Here is a 17811-nt window from a genome sequence, read left to right as displayed (position 1 = left end):
TGTTTGAGTTATTTACTTAGTAACTGCTACTAAAATGCTTATAGACCATTTTTGCCAAAGTTTGTTTCCTTGAAGTGTTTTAGACATTATAATAAAGTTGCATATGAATTTCAAAATGTATACACAAGCTATAAATAGCCTCACATCCTTTATAATTTAATAAATTGTTTAGTAAATTTAGTAAATTCTAGCACGTATTATAATAATTGAGCTGATATGTCATAAGAAAGCATAATTATGAAGTAAAGGTAGCTTTTAATCCAACTACAATTTTGAAAATTAGTTCAGCAATACATTTTACCCACAATTTAAAATAACTATTTTATATTTTCTGCATATATTAATTAGAGTACAGTGTAAACAAAGATATATTTACTAAGGAAAGGATAATGAATATTAATAATTCATTATTCCACAAACTGATTTATTATTAAAATAGCCTTTGTAGAACTTTCGCTGTTGAAAAGACTTTGTGAGGGGGAAGAAAGAATGTTACATTCAGAAAAACAAAAAGAAGAAATAATAATCTACGTATTGTTTTTCTCCCTAGCTAGTGCCATGTAGGTTTAGCCAACTTTATTATTAAAGACTGCCAGATAAGAATGCAAAAAAAAAAAAAGATTGTGCATGCAAGCTTTTATCATTACAATAATATCTTCCTACAATATACTTACATAGGCTAATATTAGGCTCGAAACAAAATTTACAAAATTATATTTTAGGTCATACAAACGAGAAAGAGATCATTGTATACAAATAATGTGATGATATTTTATGACTTTTATCATTATAGACCAGAAGTAGGTAAGCTTTTTCTGTAAAGACCCAGATAGTTAATATTTTAAGTTTTGTGGGCCACATACAATCTCTGTAGCATAATCAGCTAAACATATGAAAAAACTTCTTAGCTTGAAGTCTGTACATAAACAAGTGGCAGGCTGGATTTGGTCCATCAGCTATAATTTTCTGATTCCTGACATAGATCACTAATAACCATAACTGTATCATAAAAATGTTAGCAGAGTCATTTAAAAAGTTCACACCTTTTATTTCTACAATCACTAAAATAGATCTCCCCACCCCCGCCATAAAAGTTCTGTTCTTATTTGGTATCACCCACACCAATGCCAAAGGCAGACCTCGAGACTCCATTATCATCCATCTAAAGGGGAGCTGCTGTCCCTTCTCTCCCCTCTTGATCACTGGCTGAAATCCACTTGCTCTGCAAGGATTAGGTGTTGCCTCCTTCCTCACGACTAACATGCCATAGTGATTTCTCCCTTTTCTAAATCCTTTCCATTTACTCTGTTCAGCCTTTACACCATTTGGCACTTTGTCAATGATAGCATCATCCATAAAAATAAAATACTTTTAGTACATTATTTAAAACTTCATTATATATGGTTTGTTATACTAACTTTCTTATGTGTGCATTTAAAGTTATTTTTGAAGTAAAATGTAAGGTCCTTCTGGTCAAAGACTGTGACTCCTTTTCTTTTTGTGTGTTGCTAGACAAAGGCATCCTGGTAGTGGTGAAGATGAGTACTTTTAGGCAGCTCACAGAGCTGATCTCAACTTTGAGCACCATGGGAGGTAAAGACCTCAGGGCAGTTGGCCTCTTGTGCAGCTAAAGTGTTTAGAAAGCCAGAACGAAGTGAAAGGAAGACCCTAGAGTGGGTCAGCTTTCTGCCAAAGATAGAGAATATAGCTATAGAATGCTCCCAGCCTACAGTATAGAGCTGTTGTTGGGAAGTGGCTGCTCAGCCAGTGCCTGTATGCCCTAGCCTCTCACACAGTTGGACTACATGACTAGTTCTTGCCAATGGAGTGTGAGTAGAAATGACGTCAGCCACTTCTAGAACTGTCCCATAAAAACCTCCTACTATCCCCCTGCCTGCCAGCTGGATGTCAATACTCAAAGGCATATTAAAGCCATGTTTTTAAAGGGTATGTCAGCTTGGATCACTGAATACCTGTATAAAGCAGAGCCCTACTGTAGATTGGATGTTAAGTGAGCAAGGAATATATTTCTGGGTTATGTTAGGTCATTGAAATTTGACCTATTATTTGTTTCAGCAGTTAGCATAACCTTATTTGGAACAGATGATCTCTCTGTTGTGACTGGAGTGAACTGGATATTGTTGGACTGTCTGCTGGCATTCAGTAATGCCACAGAGAAGTCTAAAGACAATCTAATTTACCCTTGTGGTTTGTGACTTGCTTATTATATTAACTTTTAAGTTAAACTCAGCCACTTTTGAAATGATTATAGTCTTAGTAATGTCAATATCAATATGCTAATCATAAGAATCCAGAATAAGTCCTTTGAAATTGGCTGTATCATGTAAAGCATGCACAATGTCTTTTTAAAGGCGAGGTAAAGAGTTACTGTAAAACAAAATGCCAATGTTTTCCCTTTCTGGAATTTCTTCTTTCTATCTCTGAAAATGCAATGCAGACTAGCCACCAACATGAAGCTACATTTGTATGGAGGCAGCCTGGATGCTGTCAAGATAAAGTAGTTCTGTTTATGTGATTGCATGTCCTTTGAGTGTGTGTATTTCTGCCAACCTCAGAATTTTAGGCATTTCCGATTTCATCCATGTGCTTTGATAGGCTACAGTGAAACTCACATTACAGAAAAATAAACCTTCTTTTTTCACATTCTAGGAATTTCAGTGATGATAAAATTTTTAGCCAGATCAATTGCAATTTAAATCCAATATTTTTCTTGGAGTAGAGTGTATTACTGAGAATAAAAGAGGGCACGGTGGCTCACACCTGTAATCCCAGCACTTTGGGAGGCCGAGGCGGGCAGATCACAAGGTCAGGAGATCGAGACTGTCCTGGCTAACACGGTGAAACCCCATCTCCACTAAAAGTACAAAAAATTAGCTGGGCGTGGTGGCACACGCCTGGAGTCCCAGCTACTTGGGAGGCTGAGGCAGGAGAATCACTTGAACCCAGGAGGCGGAGGTTGCAGTGAGCCAAGATGGTGCCACTCCACTCCAGCCTGGGCAACAAAGTGAGACTCCATCTCAAAAAAAAAAAAAAAAGAATAGTTCTTTTAACTATTCTTTTTTTTATATAAAGTCCAATATGTATAGAATTTTAGAGCTTCTTCTTAAAAATAAGTTACTCTCTTGCCTCGAGGATAAAGTCCGCACGTCTAAATATGATTCATATGTTCTTCTTGTTCAGGCTCTTGTTTACGTCTCTGTTCCACCCTCCTACCACTGTGCATCTTGCATTCTATGCAGCAGCCACTCTGAATTCCTTTCCATTTCTCTGGTGTGCTTTCCTCTGTCTCATCTCCTGCCTTTGCACACACAGGTCCCTCTGCCAAGGTGCAGTACCCACCTCCTCCCTCCCTCTCCATTTTCCTTAGCTTACTTCCACTCAGTCTTCAGGTCTCAGCTTAGATGTAATTTCTTTCCCAGAAAGACTTAACACCTTATAATTCAAGTTAATCGTCAGTGTCCTTTAGAATGTAGGCTTTGTAAGGTCAGGGTAGATCTTTTTGATGCTAACATTAATGCATAACATAGTGTATGGAACATAGTACATGTTCAGAAAATATTAATTGAATGTTGCTGAATCTAGAACAACCCTTATATGATGTTGTGGTCTACCACAACACATAGAAAATGATGTTACTGACCTACCAACCAAAGGACACTTGTCTTGAATTATGTTATCCCCAGGATCACCTGAGGCCAAAAGAACTAAAGTGGTGAAAGAGTAGGGCATAGGTCATAAGTTGTCCTTTGTACAGTAAATAATTGTATTCAGTGACCAAATTCATGACTTTGAACTCATTATACTCTAACTGACTGAAATAGGGTAATAGAGACTGACTTTGAAAAAAAAAAAAGGTCAAAAATAACATACACACAATTCACAAAAGAAACCCTTCTCCGATTTGGATAATTTAAGCTTGCAAGATCTGCTTCTTCTCATCTGGACATTCAGGGGAAACCATCCAGCAGCAGCAGCAGACCAAATGCTCCTCTCTGGGCAACCATCACTGCTTGCCAGCATATGCGCGTTGATTTTGGAGTTCCTCTTTGAACTAACATTTGACTTGATCTAGAGTATTTCTCAGCTTGTATATTTTGCTGTCTCAAAATTTGCTCTTGATATTAATCTCCCTATCCCCTCTCTTCCATGTGGTCTTGTATTTCTAATCATGACCATCCACAATAACCTTCCTGCTTCAAGCTTCACACTTGTGTAATGACAGCTGGTGTCAAACCAAGCTGTCCTCCACATTCCTGGGACAGAGGCCTGTGGCTGCTGCCATTTCCACCACCATCATGGCAATGCTCTTGGCAGACTCAATGACTTGGAACCTGGCTCTCAAATGCCAAGGCTTCTGGGAATATGGCGGGCATTGAGGTATGGGGATAGGCTCGGTGGGGAGAGGGAATGTTTGCCTATAACTATTTCTCTGACATACATGAATACAGCAGAACTAGGTAGACTTGAAAAAAATGGCAGCATGGCAATTGGAATTTTTCTTTGGCCTCAGACTGTGGTGTAGAAGAAGAAAAGCCCTCAGCTCTACACCACAGCATCATTGGTTTACCAGTGCATTCTCATTCACAGGGCTGGAGGGAGAAGGCTCATACAAGGGTGTTTCCTAGGGCCAGTTGACCAGAAAGTATTATTGAAGTCTTAAATGGACAATGAGAGGGATTTTTGTATATTACATGTACAAATGCTTAGCAATCCACAGCTGGGTTTTTACCTTGTGTAACTGATAATACTGGAAGGCACCAACTCCACCTTGTTCTTCTGCAGTCCAGAGCACCAGCCGCAGAGTCCTCTTTGGACGCAGCCCTGGGAAAATAATAAAATAAAAAAGTGATACTTTAGTTGATTTTGAATTTTATAAAAAAATGGCAGGGTCCCTCATCTGCCTTGTGGAGGAAGGAGGAAATCAGAGGCATTCAACTCTCACTGGTGTGGTTGTCTCCTTCAGGGTATGGCCAGCACAGCAAAGGAGCAACTTCAGGGCTGATCTCCAGGCCAGGTTAATGGAGAAAGGGGTTGTGACAAATGCAGTTTGCAGGCCAGAAAGTGAGAGCCTCTCATCACATCCTTAACTTGATATCCTGCCCAGCAGAACCCAATGGATGGCCAAGATCAGTGAGATATTAGATCATATCTGGAAGATGCAGTTAGGATGACCCCAAGCATATTGTGGGGTCTTTCAATGATCTTAATTGTAATTAAATCATTTGGGTCTACTTCAGGATAAGCCATGTAGATTACTTTTTAGTCTGAATATACAAGCATAGCTAGATGCCCATGCTATCTTCAGTAATGTAATAACTGAAAAGCAGATGCAACAGTTATGCTTCTCCATGGCCAATTTCTTCTCCTACTTGGAAATAGAAGGTCATTTCCTTAAGGTCAATGAAAATTAATTGAATGAGGATGACATTTATTGACCTTATTACTACACAAACAGCTTGGTGGCAATTTTATTGACTTGTGATACACAAATTTGTATCCTGGACTTATTAAATTTTATGGCAGATGAAGTGGCTCCAGAACCATTTTTGGCTGACAATGTCAGCTCAGTGAAAGTTACCTACAAGGAAGCTGTTTCTGAAGTTAAAAAAATGGTGAGAGTATGCCAAAAGTGCTACTTTGTGACCAAGAATTAATATCTGTTCTGACTCAGACTGATAATGGCATTTCTGAGAAATAACAAAGACAGAAAAATGTGAAGCTGTGCTTAAATCTTATTAAGAGGATTCGTTTTCCCACCTCCTCATGGGGAGCCATAGGGAAGGGTTAAAATGGACTTTGAGTGGCTCTGAGATGGACACACCACATATCTCAGGTATAACCACATATGTGCTGCCACCCAGGTGTGTGGCTTTTGAAGGAGCCAGCTGGCTAACTGCAGCCTGGATGACAAATGCTTCTGGGACACAGAGCTCTCTCCTGCCTCTTCCAGGCTCCAAGAGGCACTCTCCTTTCCTAAGCCTAAGGAGCTGAAAAGGAGGAGCTACAGTTTTTCATGAAATTGAATATAGTTGTGAAGTCACTTTGTACTTCAGCATGTTAACATAACTTAAAAAGCATAGGTTTAGGATGCAGGCTGACCATAGTTGCAGTTAAAACATGGACAAGCAATTTCTACATTCAGTTCCTCAGCAATCCCATTGGTGTTTCCATCTAAGTCCATATAAAATCCAAATTCTCATCTTGGCCACTACTGTGGTCCAAGCCCCGCAGTTGTCTGGATTGCTGCAGTGGCCTCCTAACTGGGCTTGCTGCTGAAGCCCTCACCTCTCTTCAGGTGATGCTTCACACTGTAGCCAGGAGGGTCTTTGTAAAAGCTAAGCCAGATCATGTCATTTCTTGGCTCAAAACCTCCAATAACCAGAAGTAAACTTCTGGAAGACAGGGATCTATGCTTTTTATTCATTGTAATGTCGCCAATTCCTAGATTGTTTGACACACATTAGGTGCCCAATAAATGGTAATGAAGGAATAAATAAATGCAAAGCTTAGTGTCTTGATTAGAATGAAATTTGAAGCCACTTCTCCAGTCTCATCTTCTAAAAGTCTTCTGCTAGCTCATTCCCAGGCAAGGTGTTATATTTGAAAAAGGCAGACAGATCTGGTAAATCCTGCTATCATTAGGCACTAGCTGTGTAACTACTGGGATATGTATTTACCTGAACTTATGCCTCTTTATCTGAAAGATGAAGATAATATTATGTGCCTATGCCATAATCCTTTTTCAGATTAAATGAGATATGATAACACATGTAAGACAACCCTGGGGCTGGCATGTAATTGGCATTCAATAAGTGAAAAATAAAACCACATAACACACTTTCACCTCACAGAGTAGAAGGAACATCTAAATGCTCAGAGAGGAAATTCTTCCAAAGGCCTTTGAGTACTTGGAGAAAAAGAATTCTAGAGTGCCCACTACTTGCTCCACCGAGTCAAACCACCTGCCCACATTCATAGCACAAACTTAATAAACTGTTGTCTGAGGAAGAAATCTAATCAGGATTGCCAAAGATAACAATCTTCGGTTTCTTTCAAAGGAATGTGCTTAAAGTCAATTTAAATGAAATTACTTGCTTGTAATATAGGCAAAAATAAGAAAGGATAAAGTACTATTATTGTTTATAGGCTGCAAATAAAAATTCTAAACATTTTTTAAATCCACAAGAAAAGAAAAAAATACACTTTTTTTTACATATCTCCGCACCTACCAGTAAAATATTACCAAATTATTAAAATGACGAAATTCTCTAAATAAGAATAAACAGGCAGCACAGGCTACAGAATATTCATTTTTTAAAAGCAAATGCTCTGAATATCCGTATAGATTTTGTGTGCCAAGTGAAAGTTATTATCCTACAGGGTTAGTCTCCTTTACATTCCAAATCAGCCACATGGCCAGTGATGTATTAAGGTAATAAAGAAGTAATTGATTTGAAGTGAGGAATGCTAAGGCCTCAACACAACAACAGCATAGTTGGTGCACAGCTGGCCCTAAAAAGACTAACAAGCCTGCTCAAGCCCTTGAGAAGCTTAGTACTCATTAGCAGGGAACCCTAGCACCTACTTCACAGAGTGAAGGCCTTAGGAAGAAGTTAGGAAGCCAGTGGGTTAGCAAATGTTGAATCCAAAGTCTCTTTCTACTCTGACAATCTGATTGTCCCTGAACCTAAGAGAAATGCGTGAGGTTTCATTCAAGAATTAGACCTTAAACCTAGTGGGGAGTTCAGGTCCCCAGGCTACCTAAATCCATGATGGACGGTGTAGGGTACAGAAAGGCATTGGCTGTGGAGTCTGAGCTGTGTTTTACTCCTGGCTCTGCCACTTCTGGCTCTGTGAGATTAGATTAATTATAATACCTAATCTCTTCATCTATATAATAAGGAAAATGGTAATTGCCTGCTGGGATTGTTATGAAAGTTAAATAAAACAAAGCAAATGTATATCAAGCATAGTCCTGGCACATAGTAGGTTTTCAAGAATTGTTTATTAGCTTCTCTCTCCACCACTCTAGACCTTTCTGGTCAGTGCCAACAGTCACCAGGGAGAGCATGTGGGAGAACTAGGTGAGACACATGGTCCTCAGACCGCTTCCTTAGGAGCCCCAGAACACCTTTGTTTATACAGCATGCATAAACCTAGCCAAGGGAAAACACAGATTTTATCTAACCTGTAGGAAAATACATAACTTCTTTCAGTACAAAAAGCTCCCTCATCCCAATATAGAGCATATACAAATCTAAATAAATAGAAACAGGTTCTTCCCTTTTAAAATGAGGGCCAATCAGAATGTTTAGTTTTTGGATAAAGTCAAAAGGCTAAATATATCCGAAATCTGAAGACAATTGATGTAAGGACATCTATATTTATCATTTTCAAATGATAGAACTTATTGTGTATCTTAAATCCAAACTAGTTTTAAAAGCCACAAGTCTTAAATATATACAGGAAAGCAACGACAACAACAATACTAAAGCAGTAACAATGATAGTAACAAAACAAAGTAATATGAGGTCAAACGTAGGGAATTAATTCTGTGGCAGATTTGGGGTAAGTGGAAGCTCTGCTGTAAGCCTGGCCCCCAGTCTGGCACTGGCTTGGTAGCTTGCAGCTCCAGTCCAAGGCAAGCACATGAGGGAAAGTCCTAGAATTTGAAGACGCAGGGAGGACCATGCCGAGTCTTAGCTGGCTAGGAGTCAGGTCTCATTGAGGTTTTGTTAGAGGAGAGGCAGTCGGTTCTCCTATAAATATATAGAAGTTGCCAGAGACGCCTTGACCTCCTGGAATCTACAGTATGATTTCCAGATAATGCAACAGTTTATAGCCAACATGGTTTTCCTCTAAAGCAACATAAACTTCCAATAATGTGTCAGAACTTGGTTTTGGTTTATGAAATAGGATACACAGGCATTTCATTTTCATTTCATTGAGGAGAGTAATAATAATAGGGAGAAGAGAAATGATGAAAAAGATCTCTTTGGACTTTTTTTTCATTATTCTTAAATTTAAAGAATTCTGAGAGAGAACTATCATTAAGCTGATAATCTGAAAGGTCAGTTGACTGTCTTACACTTGCACAGAGAGGGGCAGAGCAAAGTAAACTTGGCCCTCAGCAGAAAAAGATTAATCCAGCTTTGTAGACAGCTTTCCTAAATCATGAAATTTATAGAACACTGTTTCTTAACAATATGTATTGATCCTAACACCCATTTACTATTCGGTTTCAACCCTCCAGAACTATAGATAAGTATCATTCTCCCTTCTGTGATCTAACTTTGCAGAGAAAACACAACTTCCTTCTGCAGTAAATATACTCATTTTCTACTAGTTCACAAATACACCTGTTGTCCCACTCTCTTTCAGCAACAGCCCAGAAGAGAGTGCCTACACTTAAAGAGATTTATATTCCTGCAATAAACTTAACTAATAAGAGTACAGTATCCGAGACATAAAAGTAAATAATGACATGGTAGCATGTGAATTGAATGACAAGAGGTAGTAAAGCAGAGTGGTTAAATGCATGGGTTTGGGGTCTGAGACCTCTTTCTGCTTTGGGCAAATTACATAATCTGTCGTATAATTTATGAGCACATTATCACTGATAAAATAGGGACATGGTTAGACAAAAATTAATTATTTTAGTGAAGTAAACTGCAACTACTTCTCTTTAAAGGCAGAACAGAAGATCACCTTGAAGAAGATCTTTGTTTTTGGAAGAATCCCTTGGTGTCTTTCTTAGTTATGTAAATATAAAGCAATTAGGCATTTTGGGGGAGCATTAGGGCAGGGCAACAAACTGTTTTTTAAACTCCATCTTGCAAACTGCTACCTTTTGAGCCACCCCGAGAAACAATCTGCACACTTGGCAGGAGGAGAATCTGTGTGGAAAAAGGAGCCCAGGGCCTTCTGGAGGGAAGCCCTAGTGTCTTCATCCCCGTTTCCTCGAACTGGAGGCCGGGGATGAGAGATCTATTGGGTCAGGATGACACTGACTAAGGTCCCGGAGCAGGGAAGGTCCTGGAAGCCATGGAAATAAAGTGATCCTAAAGAAGGGCGGAATCTGGGCTGTTGATCTGGGCTCAACAAAATGGCCTCAGATTCTAGGAGAAGGACTAATTTCAGACTAGCATGAGGCCAACTCCAGAAGCGCCTCCAGACCAGCCAGCCTGGCACAGTGGTTATGATTTAGGGAACAATGGCTGAGGATGGAAATGTAAACAAAGAGAGTTGTAACCTTGTCACCCAAAATGGGTACCCTGTGACACGGATGTGCAAATGGTGCCATATAGCAGACACCAGAGAGGGCAGCAGTCACAGACAGATCCAGCTATGGGCTTCTGCAGGAGGACTGACCCATTTGGCCTGAGTAAAGTCAGGATTCATGGACAATTCAGGGGCAGTGGGAGGGATCTCAAGAGGAGATAATAGCCTTCCTGCTAATAAGCCCTGTGGAGACTTGGGTGATTAACTGTAAAGAAGATTAAAGAGATGTGATAATATGTATAACCTGTGTTTGTGGAACAGGTCTTAACAGCTATAATTTCCATAATTCAAAGGCAACAGTCCTACCTCATTATAATGATTAAGATTCTATTAGCCAGGAAAATCACTGTTAATCATTGGTGAAGCAGAAACATTATGACTCCAAGTGCATAAAGGCCATTTCTGGCCTAGCCCAGTTTTCCACTCTCATCCTCTGCTTCTGCTTATTATATTTTTTATTTTTTTATTTCCATAGGTTATTGGGGTACAGGTGGTGTTTGGTTACATGAGTAAGTTCTTTGGTGGTGATTTGTGAGATTTTGGTGCACCCATCACCTGAGCAGTATACACTGCACCCAATTTGTGGTCTTTTATCCCTCAACTCCTTCCCACCCTTTCCCTCTGAGTCCCCAAAGTCCATTGTGTCTTTCTTATGCCTTTGCATCCTCATAGCTTGGCTCCCACATATGAGTGAGAACATACAATGTTTGTTTTTCCATTCCTGAATTACTTCACTTAGAATAATAGTCTCCAGTCTCATCCAGGTCACTGCGAATGCCATTAATTCATTCGTTTTTATGGTTGAGTAACATATATAGTATATATATATAGTGTGTATATATATAGTATATACATAGTGTATATATATACACTACAGTTTCTATATATACAGTATATATACTGTATATATACTGTATATATATACTATATATAGTATATATATACTGTATATATATACTATATACAGTATATATATATGTTTTTGGAATTGCAAATTGTGCTGCTATAAACGTGTGTGCAAGTATCTTTTTCATTTAATGACTTCTTTTCCACTGGGTACGTAGCCAGTGGTGGGATTGCTGGATCAAATGGTAGTTCTACTTTTAGTTCTTTAAGGAATCTCCCCACTGTTTTCCATAGTGGTTGTACTAGTTTACATTCCCACCAGCAGTGCAGAAGTGTTCCCTATTCACTGCATCCCTGCCAACATCAATTATTTTTTGATTTTTTGATTATGGTCATTCTTGCGGGAGTAAGGTAGTATCGCATTGTGGTTTTGATTTGCATTTCCCTGATCATTAGTGATGTTGAGCATTTTTTCATATGTTTGTTGGCCATTTGTATATCTTCTTTTGAGAATTGTCTATTCATGTCTTTAGCCCACTTTTTGATGGGATTGTTTATTTTCTTGCTGATTTGTTTGAGTTCACTGTAGATTCTGGATATTAGTCCTTTGTCAGATGTATAGATTGTGAAGATGTTCTCCCACTCTGGGTTGTCTGTTAACTCTGCTGACTGTTCCTTTTGCCACGCAAAATCTCTTAAGTTTAATTAAATCCCAGTATTTATCTTTGTTTTTATTGCATTTACTTTTGGGTTGTTGATCATGAAATCCTTGCCTAAGCCAATGTCTAGAAGGGTTTTTCCAATGTTATCTTCTGGAATTTTTATAGTTTCAGGTCTTAGATTTAAATCCTTGATCCATCTTGAGTTGATTTTTGTATAAGGTGAGAGATGAGGATCCAGTTTCATTCTCCTACATGTGGCTTGCCAATTATCCCAGCACCATTTGTTGAATAGGGTGTCCTTTCCCAACTTTACGTTTTTGTTGGCTTTGTTGAAGATCAGTTGGCTGTAAGTATTTGGGTTTATTTCTGGGTTCTCTATTCTGTTCCATTGGTCTATGTGCCTAATTTCATGTCAGTACCATGCTGTTTTGGTGACTATGGCCTTATAATATGGTTTGTAATCAGGTAATGTGACACCTCCAGATTTATTCTTCTTGCTTAGTCTCGCTTCAGCTATGTGGGCTCTTTTTTTGGTTCTGTATGTATTTTAGGACTGGTTTTGTTTGTTTGTTTGTTTGCTTTTAAATTCTGTGAAGAATGATGGTGGTATTTTGATAGGAATTGCACTGAATTTATAGATTGCTTTTGGCAGTATGGTCATTTTCACAATATTGATTCTACCTATTCACAAGCATGGGATGTGTTTCCATTTGTTTGCGTTGTCTATGATTTCTTTCAGCAGTGTTTTGTATCCTTGTTCAAGTCTTTCACATCCTTGGTTAGGTATATTCCTAAGTATTTTATTATATTATCTTTTTGCAGCTATTTTAAAAGGGGTTGAGTTCTTGATTTGATTCTCAGTTTGGTCACTATTGGTATATAGAAGACCTACTGATTTCTGTACGTTAATTTTGTATCCGGAAACTTTTCTGAATTCTTGTATCAGTTCTAGGAGCTTTCTGGAGGAGTCTTTAGGGTTTTCTAGGCAAACAATCATATCATCAGCAGACAGCGGGAGTCCCAATTTGGATGCCCTTTATTTCTTTCTCTTGTCTGACTGCTCTGGCTAGGACTTCCAGTTCTATGTTGAAGAGGAGTGGTGAGAGTGGGCATCCTTGTCTTGTCCCAGTTCTCAGAGGGAATGCTTTCAACTTTTCCCCATTCAGTATTATGTTGGCTGTGGGTTTGTCATAGATGGCTTTCATTACATTGAGGTATGTCCCTTATATGCCGATTTTGCTGAGAGTTTTAATCATAAAGGGAAGCTAGATTTTGTGGAATGCTTTTTCTGCATCTATTGAGATGATCATGTAATTTTTGTTTTTGATTCTGCTTATGTGGTGTATCACATTTATTGACTTGTGTATGTTAAACCATTCCTGCGTCCCTGGTATGAAACCCACTTGATCATGGTGGATTATCTTTTTGATACGTTGTTGGATTTGGTTAGCTAGTATTTTATTAAGGATTTTAGCATCTATATTCACCAGGGATATTGGTCTTTAGTTTTCTTTTTTGGTTATGTCCTTTCCTGGTTTTGGTATTAGGGTGGTACTGGCTTTATAGAATGATTTAGGGACTGTTCCCTTTTTCTCTATCTTGTGGAATAGTGTCAATAGAATTGGTACCAATTCTTCTTTGAATGTCTGGTAGAATTCTGGGTGAATCCATCTGGTGTTGGGCTTTTTTTGTTGGTAATTTTTTAATTATCATTTCAATCTTGCTGCTTGTTTTTGGTCTGTTCAGAATATCTAATTCTTTCCGATCTAAGCTAGGAAGGTTGTATCTTTTCAGGAATGTATCCATCTCCTGTAGGTTTTCTAGTTTATGCACATAAAGGTGTTCATAGTACCCTTGAATGACCTTTTGCATTTCTGTGGTGTCAGTTGTAATATGTCCCTTTCATTTCTAATTGAGCTTATGTTGCTTTTCTCTCTTCTTTCCTTGTTTAATCTTGCTAATGGTCTATCAATTTTATCTATCTTTCCAAAAAACCAGCTTTTTGTTTCATTTATCTTTTGTATTTTCTTGTTTCAATTTCATTTAGTTATGCTCTGATCTTAGTTATTTCCTTTCTTCTGCTGGGTTTGGGTTTGGTTTGTTTTTGTTTCTCTAGTTCCTTGAGATGTGACCTTAGAATCTCAATTTGTGCTCTTTCAGACTTTTTGATGTAGGCATTTAATGCTATGAACTTTCCTCTTAGCACCGCGTTTGTTGTATCCCAGAGGTTTTGATAGGTTATGTCACTACTGTCACTCAGTTCAAAGAATTTTTTAATTTTCATCTTGATTTCAATTTTGACCCAATGATCATTCAGGAGCAGTTTATTTAATTTCCATGTATTTGCCTGGTTTTGAAGGTTCCTTCTGGAGTTGATTTCCAGTTTTATTCCACTGTGGTCTGAGAGAGTACTTGATATAATTTCAATTTTCTTGAATTTATCAAGACTCGTTTTGTGGCCTATCATATGGTCTATCTTGGAGAAAGTTCCATGTGCTGATGAATAGAATATGTATATTCTGCAGTTCTTGGGTAGAATGTTCTGTAAATATCTGTTAAGTCTATTTATTCCAGGGTGTAGTTTAAATCCATTGTTTCTTTGTTGACTTTCTGTGTTGATGAACTGTCTAGTGCTGTCAGTAGAGTACTGAAGTCCCCCACTATTACTGTGGTGCTGTCTATCTTACTTCTCAGGTCAATTACTAATTGTTTTATAAATTTGGGAGCTCCAGTGTTAGGTGCATATATATTTAGAATTGTGATATTTTCCTGTTGGACAAGGCCTTTTATCATTATATAATGACCCTCTGTCTTTTTTAACTGCTAGAGCCTTAAAGTTTGTTTTGTCTGATAAAAGAATAGCTACTCCTGCTCACTTTCATGTCCATTTGCATGGAATCTCTTTTTCTATCCGTTTACCTTAAGTTTATGTGAGCACTTAAGTGTTAGGTGTGTCTCTGAAGGCAGCAGATGGTTGGTGAATTCTTATCCATTCTGCATTTCTGTATCTTTTAAGTGGAGCATTTAGGCCATTTACATTCATCATTAGTATTGAGGTGTGAGGTACCATTCCATTCATCATGCTATTTGTTGCCTGTATACTTTGGTTTTTTGCTTTTTGTTTTTAAATTGTATTTTTGTGTGATTTATGCTTTAAAGAGGTTCTGTTTTGATGTGTTTCCAGGATTTGTTTCAAGATTTAGAGCTCCTTTTAGCGGTTCTTGTAGTGGTGGCTTGGTAGTGGCAAATTCTCTCAGCATTTGTTTGTCTGAAAAAGGCTGTATCTTTCTTTCATTTATGAAGCTTAATTTCGCCGGGTACAAAATTCTTGGCTGATAAAATGTTTTGAGGGGGCTGAAGATAGGGCCCCAATCCCTTCTAGCTTGCAGGGTTTCTGCTCAGAAATCTGCTGTTAATCTGATAGGTTTTCCTTTATAGTTTACCTGGTGTTTTTGCCTCACAGCTGTTAAGATTCTTTCCTTCATCTTAACTTTAGATAACCTGAGGACAATGTGCCTAGGTGGTGATCTTTTTGTGATGAATTTCCCAGTGTTCTTTGAGTTTCTTGTATTTGGATGACTAGTTCTTTACCAAGGCTGGGGAAGTTTTCCTCAATTATTCCTCTAAATATATTTTCCAAACTTTTAGATTTCTCTTCTTCCTCAGCAATGCCAATTATTCTTAGGTTTTGTAGTTTAACATAATCCCAGACTTCTTGGAGGCTTTGTTTATATTTTCTTATTCTTTTTTCTTTGTCTTTGCTTAATTCGAAAACTTTGTCTTCAAGCTCTGAAGTTCTTTCTTTTGCTTGTTCAATTCTATTGCTGAGACTTTCCAGAGCATTTTGCATTTCTATAAGTGTGTCCATTGTTTCCTGAAGTTTTGATTGTTTTTTATTTATGCTATCTATTTCACTGAATATTTCTCCCTTCACTTCTTGTATCATTTTTTTGGATTTCCTTACACTGGGCTTTGTTTCTCTCTGGTACCTCCCTGATTAGCTTAACAACTAACCTTCTGAATTCTTTTTCAGGTAGATCAGGGATTTCTTCTTGGTTTGGATCCATTGTTGGTGAGCTAGTGTGATTTTTTGGGGGGATGTTAAAGAACGCTGTTTTGTTATATTACCAGAGTTGGTTTTCTGGTTCCTTCTCATTTGGGTCAGCTCTGTCAGAGGGAAGGTCTAAGGCTCAACGCTGGTGTTCAGTTCCTTTTGTCTCACAGGGTGTTTCCTTGATGTAGTACTCTCCCCCTTTTCCTAGGGATGTGGCTTCCTAAGAGCTGAGCTGTAGTGATTGTTATCTCTCTTCTGGATCTAGCCTCCCAGCAAGTCTACCAGGTCTGGGCTGGTACTGGGGTCATCTGCACAGAGTCCTGTGATGAACTGTCTATGGGTCTCTCAGCCATGGATATTAGCATCTGCTCTGGTGGAGGCGGCAAGGAGGTGAAATGGACTCTGTGAGGATACCTTAGCTTTGATTGATTAGTGCACTATTTTTGAGCTGGTTATCCTCCTGCTGGGAGGTGGCACATTCAAGAGAGCATCATCTGTGGTAATATGGGGAGGAACAGGTGGTGGGTGGGTCCCTAGAACTGCCAAGAGTATATGCCCTTTGTCTTCAGCCACCAGGGTATGTAGGGAAGGACCACCAGGTGGGGGCAGGGCTAGGCATGTCAGACTCTTGCTATGGCTGCTGTGGAGGATGGGGTTGAAGTTTCTAGGTCAATGGAGTTATGTTCCTAGAAGGATTATGGCTCTCTCTGCTGTGTAATGCAGGTTGTCAGGGAAGTAGGGGAAAGCCGGCAGTCACAGGCCTCATCCAGCTCCCAGGCAACCCAAAGGGCTGATCTCACTCTCACTGTGCCCCTCCCAACAGCACCAAGTCTGTTTCCAGGTGGTGGGTGAGCAGGGCTGAGAACTTGCCCCAGGCTACTTGCCTCCCAGCTGCAAAAGTAAGTAGGGCTTTCCTTCTTCCCTTGCCTGTGGAGTCTGCACACTGGATTCATGCCCTCCCCCCAGTTCTGGCCAGGAGACTTTTTGATCAGCTCAAATTGTTACAAAGTTCAGCTGGAGGTTTCCTTCTCCCTGTGGCCTTTTCCCAGTGCCTCTAGCACCCCTCCTCAAGGACCCCTGTGAGGTGAGGCAGAAGTGGCTTGCTAGGGGAGCCAGCGAGCCCACAGGGACTTTTCTCCTGCTTCCTCTAACCCCATATTTTGCTCGGCCCTCTACATTGACTCAGCTGCATGTAAGGTCGGAATCTTCTCCCGTACTCTAGAACTTCAGGTTCCCTCTCCAGTGGGGATATATGTTCAGGGGCAGATGATCTCCTTTTCCCACTTCTACAGTTTTTTGGGGTGTCTTACAGTATTTGGGGTGTCTCCCAGGTCCTGCAGGAGTAATCTGCTTCCTTCAGAGGGTCTATGGGTTCTCTTGGCTTTCCTAATGTATTCCTGCAGTCATTGTTGAGTAAAAGTTCACAATGCAAGTCTCCACACACTGTTCTGTCCATCCGAGTGACAGCTGCAATCTAGTCTTGCTTCTGGTCTGCCATCATGATCTGCTTCTGCTTCTCATCCTAAGCTCTAGCTATACCATATTTCCTACCAGTCCCTGAACAGGCCATGTTATCTCAGAGTTTTGACATTTTGTATATGCTCTTCTTCCTATCTAGAATACCTCTTCACCTTTTCCATCTAGGAAACTCCTATTCATTGAACAAAGCCTATCTCTATAATACTTTCTCTGGGAAGGCTCCCCTAACTCAAAGGCAGAGTTGGCTGCCCCTTTCTCAATGTTCCTCTAGAACTGCATGCATAACTCTATTTTCATTTTCAGCCACCCTTAAATGTTGATCTTCCCATTAGACCATTAATTTTCTGATACTCATTTCCCTTTTTCATAATCTGGCCCAATACCTGACATTTGACAATTGCTGAATAAATGTTTGTTTATTTGATTGACTGAATGAATATATTTGTATAAATATAAATAAAAGGGACC

The 17811-nt window shown here is 39.2% G+C and overlaps 1 protein-coding gene and 1 long non-coding RNA gene across 2 annotated transcripts in view; one reads left to right on the top strand and one right to left on the bottom strand.

The window, feature by feature from the left end:
* CPQ (carboxypeptidase Q) overlaps positions 1–17811 on the bottom strand; it is a 498260-nt gene that overhangs the window by 109257 nt on the left and 371192 nt on the right. Inside the window, exon 6 of the mRNA NM_016134.4 lies at positions 4751–4842. Within this exon, the coding sequence (NP_057218.1) occupies positions 4751–4842 (92 nt within the window). The remainder of the gene's footprint in view (positions 1–4750; positions 4843–17811) is intronic.
* The window catches only part of LOC101927066 (uncharacterized), a 494634-nt gene that overhangs the window by 412253 nt on the left and 64570 nt on the right, over positions 1–17811 (top strand). The gene's annotated exons all lie outside the window — the stretch shown is intronic.

Source organism: Homo sapiens, chromosome 8 (genome assembly GCF_000001405.40).
Source record: "Homo sapiens chromosome 8, GRCh38.p14 Primary Assembly".
In the NCBI taxonomy this organism is placed as follows: Eukaryota; Metazoa; Chordata; class Mammalia; order Primates; family Hominidae; genus Homo; species Homo sapiens.
The sequence above is the reverse complement of the archived record's forward strand: the minus strand, read 5'-3'. Positions and strand labels throughout refer to the sequence as shown.